The 13,538-nt window shown below is 41.3% G+C and overlaps 1 protein-coding gene across 20 annotated transcripts in view, besides 1 other annotated feature; it reads left to right on the top strand.

Annotated features, from left to right (window-relative positions):
- The window catches only part of GLIS3 (GLIS family zinc finger 3), a 666,339-nt gene that overhangs the window by 348,084 nt on the left and 304,717 nt on the right, over positions 1 to 13,538 (top strand). The gene's annotated exons all lie outside the window — the stretch shown is intronic.
- Positions 4,520 to 5,719: an enhancer, noted in NCBI's record as "P300/CBP strongly-dependent group 1 enhancer chr9:4136663-4137862 (GRCh37/hg19 assembly coordinates)". NCBI's record gives its function as "activates an origin of replication core promoter dependent on BRD2, BRD4, P300/CBP, MED14 and CDK7 cofactors, with strong dependence on P300/CBP, by STARR-seq in HCT116 cells {active_cell/tissue: HCT116}" and the evidence as "EXISTENCE:reporter gene assay evidence [ECO:0000049][PMID:35650434]".

The raw sequence follows: 13,538 nt of genomic DNA, 5'->3' as shown, positions 1-13,538 counted from the left end.
AAAACCATAGAATCTTATGTTGTTTATTATGTGTTATTTACTCTCTTCTAAGACTTTGTATATTATTCAGGGAATAAGCTATCAACTTGATTAACATTTAACTTTTTCTTCATGTTTATTCTCAGCTTTAGCATTCAAATTCAGATAAATACTGCTACTTTTAAAATAGTATTATTTTAGGGAGAACATAAGCACAACTCTTAATTTAGATTTTTTCATACTGGCATCAATATGTATTATGGTTGCTTTTTCATTTTGATGGGAAAGAATTTGGGTTGTAAGTGAGCACCTACTCTGTTCTTCCTCATTTTTTGACCTAATTTCAGATATGATTAGTTGGGAGTTATTGCTGGTACCGTGTCTGGATTCGCATCTACAAGGTGCAGAGATGAAAGTCACATTTACTTCGATACTAACTCATGTTCCAATCATGTTTACAGAAATGCTTACATTACTCTAGTTCTCTTATAAGTTAAAAAATAGCATTAAATAAAAGAAACAGAAGGGAATTACATTATGTAGGCCTCAGCCAGATTGCCTGTGTGTTGAGATTTGTGATGTTAAAATTGTATTTTTATATTTTGGTATTTTAGTTAAAGTTATGTGATTTTATACAATGACAAATTTTCTGAGCCAAAAGGTAGATATTTCAGCCTTCCTACCTCTCCAATTTTCAGCAAATCTGTAGTATGACTTATTCTACCAATTTATGTATACAAGAAATGGTTGTTTAAATTATTTCCTTTAAATCACAACAAATCAGATGCCAAGATTCCATCTTACTCATTAGTGGGAAATTTAATCTCAGTTATTGCTAGTTGGGGTGGCCTGATACACTACCAAGGTGACACAGAATCCCAGGGTGTTTGTAGAGAGCAGAACATTCCAGGAGCTTTTCTGTGTTCTTGGTTCTTCAGGTTACTGCTGAGATGCCCTTTGACCAAGCCCCACATAGCCTCTAGGAGTCTGCTGCTCTGTGCATTGCTTGGACACAGGAGGTTTTGCTGGAGCTGGGAGCCCAGGCCCGAAGGTCTGGCCTTTGTATTTTGGCCAGGCAGCCATACCTTTTACCCCCACTGCCTTCCTTGGGAGCTGTCTTGCTACTCAGGGACCATCAAACTGTTGTTCTTCCCAGACTTTGGGCAATCCCACCTCTCTCTCTCCTTCTGTCTCCCTCCTAGAGGCACTATCCTCTTTCAGAAGGCTCTGCCACCTTCAGAGCACCTGGAATAATCTCAGTGAATTTAGATTTCTACACAAGACTGTGAGAGAGGATGAATTTGGCCAGGCACGGTGGCTCACACCTATAATCTCTGAACTTTGGGAGGACGAGGAGGGTGGATCACCTGAGGTGAGGAGTTCGAGACCAGCCTGTCCAACATGATGAAACCCCGTCTCTACTAAAAATACAAAAAATTAGCTGAGCGTGGTGGCACGCGCCGATAATCCCAGCTACTCAGGAGGCTGAGGCAGGAGAATCGCTTGAACCCAGGAGGCGGAGGTTGCAGTGAGCTGAGATTGTGCCACTGCACTCCAATCTGGGCAATAAGAGCAAAACTCCGTCTCAAAAAAAAAAAAAGATAAATTCAAACAGTGTCTACTCTTGGCCCTTTTATAATAACCTCTCTTGAGACGAAGGAGCACAAAATACAAATAATAGCTCGCTGAATTTTCTTGCCATAAACATGAGCTGCTGAATGGGCTTTGGAGCTCAGAGTTAACAATTACAGTCTAGAGGAGGAAAGGGTATCTGGCCTATGAGATAGTTGAGCAGCTCTGGGGGACTTCTGGGAGGAAGCTGGGTACTTTCCATTTCTTGGAAATAGGGGTGACTTCATTTTAATGCAAAATAATGTAATCTTCATTACTATTTTCCTTCCCTCTGGGTCTGAGGCTTCTGGGCATCCCATCTGGACTTGCAAGCCCATGCAGAATATGGAGCAGAAACAATTTATGATAGAGAATGTGTCTTTTTGGACAGTAATGGGAAATTACTGCTTAGGGAAAAACAAAGGTAGTCTGGTGGCTTTTTTTGTTCTGTTTTGTTTTTGTTTTTTGGGGACAGGGTCTCACTTTGTCACCCAGGCTGGAGTGCCGTGGTGCCATCCTGGCTCACTGCAGCCTTGACCTCCCAGGTTCAAGCAATTTTCCCACCTTAGCCCCACAAGTAGCTGGGATTATAGGCACGCGCCACCATGCCTGGCTAATTTTTGTATTTTTTGTGGAGACAGCGTTTCGCCATGTTGTCCAGGCTGGTCTCACACTCCAGAGCTCAAGCGATCTACCTGGTCTGGCGGCTATGACGACTATGTAAGATATGCCTTTTACAGGCTAAGAAGTTATATCTAATATGAAGAATTGGCTGCGATTTTGCCTCTGAACCAGCTCTTACATACTGAAAAAAAAGTCCCATTGATTTATATTGAGTAGCTTAGACCAGGGGTCCCCAACTGCCTGGCCGTGGACCTGTATGGGTCAGTGGCCTGTTAGGAACCAGGCCACACAACAGCAGGTGAGCAGTGGGCATTACAGCCCAAGCTTCGCCTCGTGTCAGATCAGCAGTGGGATTAGATTCTCATAGAGGCAGAAACCCCATAGTGAACTGTGCAAGTGAGGGATCTAGGTTGCGTGCTCCTTACGAGAATCTAATTATAATGCCTGATGATCTGAGGTGGAACAGTTTCATCCTGAACCCCACCCAACCGTGCCCACCCCTTCCATGCTTTCCATGAAACCACGAACCATGAAACCAGTCCCTGGGGCCAAAAAGGTTGGGGACTGCTGGCTTAGACTACCCTCCCTTCACACTGAATGTGTTTGTGTGTATCTGTATGTAACAGGAGGGAATATGGACAGAGGGGGCGAACGAGTAATATTTCTGTCTGTTGAGTAATTTAGAGACATATCAACAGTTGTGTCCACCAGGGACCTCAGTCTTCTTTAGCATCATGACTTACACACATTTCAGAGGAACTGCTCAATTTGATTCGTGGCCTTGAACTGTACTTGACTTATGAATTGTTCTTAAAAGTTGTATTCATTACCTATTCATCCAACAGATATTTGGTGAGCACTTGCTGTCTGGGGGATACCAGTCATTGCTCCGTACAGTGAGGGGTCTCACCCAGAGGCAGCTTTGCCATTTCTCACCCAGCCTCTGCTTTTGTTTGGCTTGGGGCAGGGGAAAAAGCAGGTTGAGAGATATACAACCTTGATTTATGGAAGAAAGGTTCTGAATCTAGTATTCCTTAAAGGCACTTCAGCAACCATCTTACTTGTTTTCTTAATAAGATAAGTTGGGCTTTACCCTGTTTGCTCCGTTTGCTCTTCCCAGCCTGGTCTCACCCTGAGATTATGGCAACATCTTACTAGCTTGGTTTCCTGCCTTCAGCCTTTGCTCTGCTTCTAAATGTACTGGAAATAGACTGTTATCTTCTTGCTCCCTCCTTACAACATACCCATGCTTGCAAGTCTACTGTAGCTCTTTGGGGTGCCTGGTTTTGGAGGTTGTGTGCAATCTGATAACATCTTAGTAAGAATATGAATGCCTACAGCTTATAGAGTACTTACTGTGTGCTGGAAACTGTTGTAAGTGGTCTACATACGTGACTTATTTCATACTCCAAACAGCCTTATGAAGGTGGGAACAATTATCATCCCCATTTCCCAGACAAGGAAATAGAGGCACAGAGAGCTTAAGGCATTTGCCCAAGGTCACACAGCTGGTAAGGGAAGCTATTCTGGCCCTAGTGTCTCATTCTTTACGGCTTCCCCCATGCTGCCTCCATAATACTTCCTCAGCACATGCACCTCACTTCATTTTGGCCATCCAACTCTTCATATTGCCCCCTCTCCTCCTGCCATTAAAAGGCTCAGATGAAGTCTCACTCCTCTACTAAGCCTCCTCCAGTGTATTCAGATCTTTTCCTCATTTGAGCTCTTTTTGTACTCAGCAGTGAAGCAACTCAATTTAAGATTAGGTGTTTGCCAATTGTTTCCTGTGTTAGTTAACACTCTCTCCAATTGGTTGTAAGATCTTTGACCAAGGGCTAGCTGTACGGCCTAGGACCAAGCCTAACACCCAGTAAATGTGTCTTTGGGAAACTGAGGCAGTTTTCTCCCATGACAATATGCGTTCTCCCTCCCTTCCATTCATTCTTTCTTATATTTGTGGAAGTCCTCTTTTTCCACAGTAAGTATAATAATTCCACTTTTATATATTTTCACAGATGTGTCCACCAGATGAGGCTTGATCTAAGCCTATTAAATTAGATGGTAGGCAAGAATGATTTGACTCATCTGTGTGTCCACAATCCCTAGAGTATATAGTGTAGCACAGAGCAGGGACACAATAAACAAATACCTGATCTGTGAGCAATAAATTACTAAGTTGTGCCTCTGCTGGTGTTTCAGTTTTTCAGAGTACTTGTTTGCTTAGTTAACAAATGTATCTGCTTACTTCCCCTGGGATTGCTAGAAAATTTGTCGAGGGAGAAGCAGTAAAATGTGCTTACATTTCCTCTTTGGTTTTCCAGGCTAATTGTTGGTGAACTTTATTTAACACTCTTGCTATACTAAGAGTCTCTATGGAGCAGAGCAGCTTTCAGTTAACTTGGCAAATCATTACAAGAGAGAACAGAGGGGTCAGCATGAGCACTCTCTACTAATTAGTTGATAATTGATATACAATAGCTGACGGATGGGACTTTAGAATACAAACTCCAGGAATATTGCTTAATTTATCTTTGCATCCTTATGAAGTGGCTCAGAGATGTAGGTTCCTAATAATATCATCTTACTGGGAGTGCCCAGTGGTGGGGAGCAAGATTGAGGCTCCATGCACAGGAATCCAGGGCACTGAGTGGTACAGAAAGGAATATGATACATTTTAATCTCTTGGGTATAAATGTGATTCCATTTAATACAGGGATAAATTGCAGTGAGTAATGCTGGTGATTCCATACTTGGTGGACAGCATTCCTGAATGCTGACTAAGGTTGGAAGAATGTTGGTATGAAAGTTATGTTCTTTGTGGGATAAACATGGAAGATTCAAGCTGAACTCCTGAAGACAAGGTGGTAGGAGATTGCATGATTCATGCGAATCTCCCTGGGTTCAGATTTGACCTATTTATTGGCTGTCTTTGTAATGAAGTCACCAAATAGACATTATATGGCCCCCCTCTCCCATTTAAATGTGATCGCCTAAATCTTTAGCAACTAATTATAAAATCCTTACTCTAACTTGCTTCATAACCATTGCTTTCTTATTTTGTCATTTACCACCCTGTGGCTGCTATGCCGTCTGTACAGCTGGTTCATGTGCTCCTCCAGCCTTTCTCCCCATCTCTTCCAGATTAATCTTGGGTGAACTCTGCTCCTAATGGGATGCGCCACTACCTATAGCACAAGGTCCCAGATGCACATCAGGTGACTAGTTATATCAGCATCATTTGGTTTAGTTGGTTTGCAGTGGAGCTTAGGAATTTGCATTTGAGAAGCTTCACTGGTGATGCCAATATGTAGCCAGGTTTGAACCACTGTTGGATAAGTAATGTCCAGCTTTTAAATCAGTTCTTCAGGGCTGATTGAACCAACCCTCTAAGCTCTGTCTTCTCCCTTTCTCCTCTTGTAGGCAGCCCTAGCTCATCTTTGTTTCTCCAGGACGCATTGTGCCTCCTCCCTTTCGTTTCTGTGTCTACACCCTACTACTTCCTTCTCATTTGTGTGCTCATTCTTCCTTCATGTTTTAGCTTATTCTTTTCTAAAGGGTATTCCTTAGAATGCCAGTCTTAGATGAGTCCCTTGGGAAAAACCTCCCTAAACAAATGTACTTTAAATATTATTTGGTCTTCTGGGAGATTTATCACATGCATTTACATTTTTAAAGGCTCCTGAAGACTTACAGTAAAGAGATATGTTTAACTTTGTTGTATTAGGGGTTCCCAAGCTTACTGGACTGTGGACATCTCCATGAGGCCAACTTCATTGTCATTTAACATCTTTGGACATCCTGAAGGACTTTGGGAAACGTGTTTGTAGTTCATACTCTTCTTCTTTGATGAATTACCTAGTACAAAGGGATTGCCCTCCTCCTCTGAGCTCCTGTCTCTATGATTTAGCTTCATGCTTAATACTGTACAGTCTAGCGACATTATCCGATTGTTCCTAGGTGAGTATATCTTATCTCTTCAGAGGTTGTGAGCGCCATGGAGGTAGGATGTTATATCCAGCATTCCTTACCTTCCATAGGTTTTGCACAGTTTTGAGCATTTGTCACAATTGCCAAATTCGATTGCTTTGCCCCTGAATATAGGAGCCGGTTATTTCATTCTAATTGTCATCCTTTGGTGTTCGTAGCCATTTAGCCATGCCTTACTGTATTTCAGAGTAATACACCATACAGTCACATATGTTCATTAAATTGTTACTAATGTATCTCAGCAGTGAAATATTATGAATTTGACAAAACACTACATAGCAAGCCTAGGGTGTTTGGTATGCAGGATGTTTCTAGCTCTAAGGAGGAGTATTCATGAAAGGTGAGAGAATTTGATGACCTGTGCTTACCTTCATCGATCTGTTTTTGCATAGCAGATGGGAGAGAAGGGTACTTGTTTCTTTCTGTGGTGAAAGAATATACTTTTCAAAGTTCTTTCATATACTTGATGTTTCTCCCATTTGAGAAAAGAGGAAAGGCTTGGATTGATACTATGCCTTGCCTAAGATTCTATTCTTTATTTATTGGTGGGTACCTATATTTCATTATAAGAATGAATATGTATATTATATTAGATATGTTATTTGAGTAATATAATAATGTTTAGAGTAGCAGTAAGAGTTTAGAGTAATAAGTAATAATGCTTAGAGACATTATTCTTTGTCAAAACAGTCATAGTTCGATGACTTCTCTCAAGAATATAGGGGTCAATGTGTGCCTAACTCACATTGCCTTTAGAATTAGAACATACATACTCATATTTGAATGAATTCAGAGAAGAATGTGGGAGGATACACATTCACCTGTTAGAGTTCATTACCTTAAGGGAATGATAGATGTCGGGGGTGGATTATGAGCTTTTTCTTTTTATAACTTTGCATTATTTGCCTTTTAAAGCACATGGACACATACACAAATACATATTATTTTTAAATTTAAAATAGCAATAAAGATAATCCCAAATAAAAGAGAGATAATGCTATCTAAGTAGACAATTCTAGACAACGCTTTGACATGTGTTAAGCTAATAAACCTTAGGGATGAAATGTATATGCCGTAATTCCTAACATAATTTGGGGTCTATGAGGGGACCCACAATAAATAATGTATTTCTTTCCCACCAGAATATCTTTTTTTTTCTGATAGAGGATGTGTTGGAAGGCATAACTTTGTGTGAGAGTCCAGTGGACCTGCTGACTGCACTGTAGAATTAGGCCATCTTATCTCCCTAGTCCAGGGCAGCTCTTTCAGGACAAGCCTTCTAGGTAAGGTGTATACCGTGTGGCAAAGAACTCTGTCTTTCCATGGTAAGCTTAGTCCCCAAAGGAAAACAAGAAGGTTTCCTGAACTACTCATCCCCGCTTATTCTTTCTACTTTGACAGAGAAGGGCATACTGAGAGACAGTTCCTTTTTTAAAAAATGGCTAGAAAGAAGTGTTCCTACCATTTTGCACACCTAAGTTAGATAATCATTCTCCCCATTATGGCTCAATTTGCATTACTAAAAATATCATTCCGTAACATAATCATGACAATAACATTAACAAAAATTACAACTACTCTTTACTGAGCAGGCACATCATATATGTTGGGTCTCACTCATCCTCGAAGCAACCATGTAGGGTGTATAGTATTATTTGTCTTTTAGAGATGGAAGAAACTAAGGCTAAGAGGTAAAATTACTCTGCTAAATGACCAAAGTTACATTCACAAGCTGGGTATGGAGGCCAGCCACCATTTCCCATGCAAAATAAAAATATTTTCCAATAGCATCTGGGACTTATTTGCTTTTGAAGGAGGTGTAAGACTCATATTTTATATTAGGCATTGATTTCATTATTAAAGGAAGCCTTGCCAGTTAGGGATAGTTAGGTGCTTAGAACTAAAAATAATGGGAAACTTTGAGCCTCAAAGTTGCAAAAACTTCAATTGCAAGTGATCTAAATTGGCTTTCAACTCTACTTCAATTGTAGTTGAATTTGTGCTTGCTAGGAAATAAAAGGGCCAGGCTTATATAAAACAGGTTTGCACAGTAAAAGGGTATGGTTGAGAGGTTTTAAAAAAAATTCCTTTCAGTCTTTCTTGCCACGTTTTGAAATTTTACTTATTTTCTGTTGTATTAGTGTTTTGCAGTAAAATGTTCTTGAGGTATTTTGCTAGTCCCTGACACCTTAGTTCGAAGTAATCATTGTTTTCTAAAATAGCTGAGAGAAAGAGAAAATGGATATGAGGAACTAGAATGGCCTAAATAAAACCTGGATCCCGTTCAGGCGAGGACAGATGTACGGTGTGTGTGTGTGTGTGTGTGTGTGTGTGTGTGTGTGTGTGTGTGTGTGTAGAAGGTCTTGGGCAGGAAGGCATCAGCATGCTGTTTCTGGGCACTCAGGAGAAGAGGTGCTAGAAACAATATCAGAAAGGTACCATATGAGAGACAAGTTCTTTAATAAAATATAAATAGAACTAACAATGTATTAAGTGCCAGGCCCTATTACATATATTAGACTTTTTAATCCTCCAAACTGAGGTAACTGCTAGTGTTAACCTCATTGGGAGATCAGGACACTGAGGCACAGAGAGCTTAAGTAACTTGTCCAAGGTCACACAGCTAGTCAGTGGTGGAGCCAGGATGGAAATCTATGGCTCTTAGCTACTGTGTTATGTACTGTTAACCTCTCACTTCTTTCCTTCCACCATCTTTTCCACTTTTCTGTCTGTTTTTAGTACCCAAGTGTCGAGTGATATCCCAACCCTAGTTGGTGATAACCCATTCTTGAATGCCCACCTGAATGGGAGTCTCAAAACCTATGTTTGCAATGCATGATCCTGGATTGGAAAACAATTGTTCCATAAGTTACATTTGAGTGTAGATGGCATATTACATACTAATACTATATCATTGCTAAGTGTCTTGAATTCAATGATTATATTATGGTTATATATTTAGGAATGAAGGACATGGAATCTGCAACTTATTCTTAAATGGTTCAAAAATTAATACTGTAATACAAAATAAGTTTATATATAGAGATGGTTAGATAGATAGATAGTACGATGAGCTTCAACTTTATCTAATGTTCTATTCTTGTGACATTTCTGTAGCTTTAAAAATGTTTTCAAGGAAAAGTGTGGGAAGAAAACCCTGCTGCTTAGAGGCAGTGAGGCATATATTGATATTTACTAACCCTTTTAATCCTCAGAACAACCTTATGAGTTAGGTATTATTACTGACCCCATTTTAGAACAGTACGCTGAGGCACAGAGACCTTAAGGACCTTCCTGATATCACACAGCCAGTAAGGGCGGGAGGCAAGACTCAAACCCTAATATGTATATTTCTGTTTCTGTAACACCTTGTGTGTGTGTTAGGTTGAACCATATAGAAATTGCTCTCGTATGATCATTTTGGACCTATTAAGAATATCATTTTATATGACCCAGCCTAGGAGCAGGGATCACCTCTTTTATAATGAATGGTTGGTTTGGTGTGCATCTTCATGGCTAGACTGTGGGCTCCATGGGGGACTGGGTTAATCTTGCTCACCATTGTCTCTGTGGACTGCCTGGCTAGTGGTTGGCATTTGATAAGTGTCAGATAACGAACAATAACGTTATTGTTGGTTGCTTCTCTCCGCTCTTCCCAGATATATTTCATTCTTGTTCCCCCTGTATCTATGTCATTTTTAAAACCAGTGGATACACATAAATAGTTCTGAATGATGCAGCCTCAGTAGTGATAATTGTGACATAATCAGCCATTTGACTTCAAGAGAACCCTTTTAACTAATGAAGACATTAATTAAAAACATGCCCTGCTAAGGTGAACTCTAGGTTCAGAAATTTGAAAATGCAAAACGTTTGCATTCCCTACTAGCATACAGTGATTTTGGCTAGAATGTATGTGGTACTCAGAATGCCATCCACTTAGGTCCTCATTTGAGCAGTAAACACATGTTTCAAATACATCATGTAGTCTCTAAAAATAAGCAGTGTTTCAAAATGAAAACCAGTGCACAAGTCATTGGCACATCTGGTAGTCAGAAAAGTTGTATGGTTTGTTTTCAGGAAACTTTTCTTCTGTGATGACATGTGGTTTTTTGTTTTTTTTTTTTTTTAAAAAAAACATTGGCCGTAGACTTAAAGCAGAAAGAATATTGGAAATGAGAAGAGAATTAAACAGCATTATTTACTATCTTGTTTTGTGCAAGGAATTATAAAGGAATATTTTCTTTAGAAAGAGAATGGAGCAAAAAAGCAATGACAGGCATGTAACAATCATAGTATCAATAACAACAGTAGCAGTTAACATCCATTAAGTACCTACTGCGTGCTTGATAGTGTGCTGAGTCCTCTATGTATGTTGTTAATACTAGATGCACAACAACCTTATGAGGTTGTATTAGTCCGTTCTCACATTGCTGTAAAGAAATACTTGAGACTGGGTAATTTACAAAGAAAAGAGGTTTAATTGGTTCACAGTTCTGCAGGCTTAACAAGAAGCATAACAGTATTTGGGGTGGCCTCAGGAAACTTTCAATGATGGCAGAAAGTGAAGGTGAAGCAGTCACATCTTACATGGCTGGAGCAGGAGGAAGGGAGAGCCATGGGCAGTGCCACACACTTTTATACAACCAGATCTCATGGGAACTCTAACACGAGAATAGCAGCAAAGGGACAGTGCCAAACCATTCATGAAGGCTCTATCCCACTGATCCAATCACCTCCCACCAGGCCCCACCTCCAAAATTGGGCATTACAATTGAACATGAGATTTGGGTGGGGACACAGATCCAAAGCATATTATATCACCCTGACCCCTCCCAAATCTCATGTCCTCAAACATTGCAAAATACAATCATCCCATCTCAACAGTCTCCAAAGTCTTAACTCATTCCAGCATTAACTCAAAAGTCCAAAGTCTAAAGATTCATCTGAGACAAGGCTAGTGCTTCCACCTATATGAGCCTGTAAAATCAAAAAACAAGTTAATTACTGCTAAGATACAATGGAGGTACAGACATTGGGTAAACATTCCCATTCCAAAAGGGAGAAATTGGCCAAAATAAAGGGGCTATAGGTCCTATGCAAGCCCCAACCCCCCCTAGGGCAGTCATTAAATCTTAAAGCTCCCAAATAATCTCCTTTAACTCCTTGTTTCACATCCAGGCCACACTGGTGCAAGAGGTGGGCTCCTAAGGCCTTGGGCAGCTCTGCTTCTGAGGCTTTGTGGGGTGCAGCCCTGGCAGCTGTTTTCATGGGCTGGCATTGAGTACCTGTGGCTTTTCCAGGTGCAGGGTGCAAGCTGACAGTGCACCTACCATTTTGGGGTCTGGAAGATGGTGTCCCTCTTGTCACAGCTCCATTACGCAGTACTGCAGTGGAGACTGTGTGGAGGCTCCAACCCCACATTTCACCTCCACGCCTCCCTAGAAGTGGTTCTCCGTGTGGCCTCTACCCCTGCAGCAGGCTTCTGTCTGGACATCCAGGCTTTTCCATGCATCCTCTGAAATCTAGGCAGAAGCTTCCAAGCCTCAACTCTTGCATTTCGTGCACCTACAGGCTTAAGACCATGTGGAAGCCACCAAGTCGTCTATGGTTTGCACCCTCTGAAGCAGAGGCCTGAGCTGTACCTGGGCCCCTTTGAGCCAAGACTGGAGCTAGAGCTGCTGGGATGCAGGGAGCAGTGTTTGGAGGCTGTGCAGTGCAGCAGGGCCCTGGGCCTGGCCCATAAAATCATTCTTCCCTCTTAGGCCTTTGGGCCTGTGATGAGAGGTGCTGCCAGAAAGTTCTCTGAAATGCTTTTGGGGCCTTCCCCCATTGTCTTGGCTGTCAGTACTTGCCTTGTCTTTACTTATGCAAATTTCTGCAGCCTGCTTGAATTCCTCTCCTGAAAACGCTTTTTTCTTTTCTACCACATGGCCAGGCTGTAAATTTTCCAAACTTTTACACTCTGCTTCCCTTTTAAATATAACTTCCAGTTTCAGCTCATTTCTTTGCTCACATATATAAACACATGTTGTTAGAAACAGCCAGGCCACATCTTGAACTCTTCGCTGCTTAGAAATTTCTTCCTCCAGATACACTAAATCACTTTCAAATTCAAAGTTCCACAGATCCCGAGAGCAGGGGCACAATGCCTACAACCTCACTGCTAATGGATAATAAAAGTGACCTTTGCTCCAGTTCCCAACAAGTTCCTCATCTCCATCTGAGACCTCCTCAGCCTGGACTTCACTGTCCATATCACTGTCAGCATTTTGGTCATAATTCGGGCAGTCTCTAGGAAGTTCCACTATTTTCCACATCTTCCTGTCTTCTTCTGAGTCCTCCACACTCTTTCAACTTCTGTCCATACCCAATTCCAAAGCTTCTTCCACATTTTCAGGTATCATGGTAATGCCCCACTCCTTGGTATTAGTCTGTTCTCGCATTGCTATAAAGAAATACCCGAGCCTGGCTAATTTATAAAGAAAAGTGATTTAATTGGCTCATGGTTCTGCAGACTTAACAGGAAGCATAGAAGCTTCTGGGGAGGCCTCAGGAAACTTTCAATCATGGTGGAAGGCGAAGGGGAAACAGGCATGTGTTACATGGCTGGAGCAGGAGGAAGAGAGAGAGGGGGAGGTGCCACACACTTTGAAACATCCAGATCACATGAGAACACTTATCATGAAAACAGCACCAAAGGATGGTGCTAAACCATTTATGAAGGATCCACCCCCCATGATCCAATCACCTTCTACTGGGCCCCACCTCCAAAACTGGTCATTACAGTTGAATGTGAGTTTTGGGTGGGGACACAGATCCAAACCATATCAGAGGGAGGGTTAACTTTATCCCTGTTTGGCAGATGAGAAGACATAGACATGGAGAAATACGGCACAAAAATGTTAAGTAATTTGCGTAAGTCCCCAAATAGCAGATCCCAGGCAAGCTATCTCCAGAGCCCACACTCCAAGACACTGCACAATTCTGAGAAGTCTGGAGGTATAGGTGTTCATTATGTTTCTGGCATTATGAAAAACACTTAGATGGCTGTATTGAGCACAGTGGTTCTTGGTCAGACTTGTTTGCCTGCATGTGTGAGACAGATGTTGCCATTTTCCATTTTCCAGAACATCCTCATAGTTGTACCACAAACATTTACATGTTCCCAAGAAGTTCACCATTAATTTTCATGCTTCAAGGATACCATTTGTGACACCATTTGTGCTTAGATGGGGTTAAAGTTGACCAGTGATCGCTTCTTGGCCTTTTGGCTTTACACTTGAGTGTAAAGTGTAAAGTTGACCAGTGAATTTGGGAGTAGGAGGTGGTATAGT

This window comes from Homo sapiens, chromosome 9 (assembly GCF_000001405.40).
Source record: "Homo sapiens chromosome 9, GRCh38.p14 Primary Assembly".
Taxonomy (NCBI): domain Eukaryota; kingdom Metazoa; phylum Chordata; class Mammalia; order Primates; family Hominidae; genus Homo; species Homo sapiens.
Note: the sequence above shows the minus strand (reverse complement) of the source record. Positions and strands in the feature narration are given on the sequence as shown.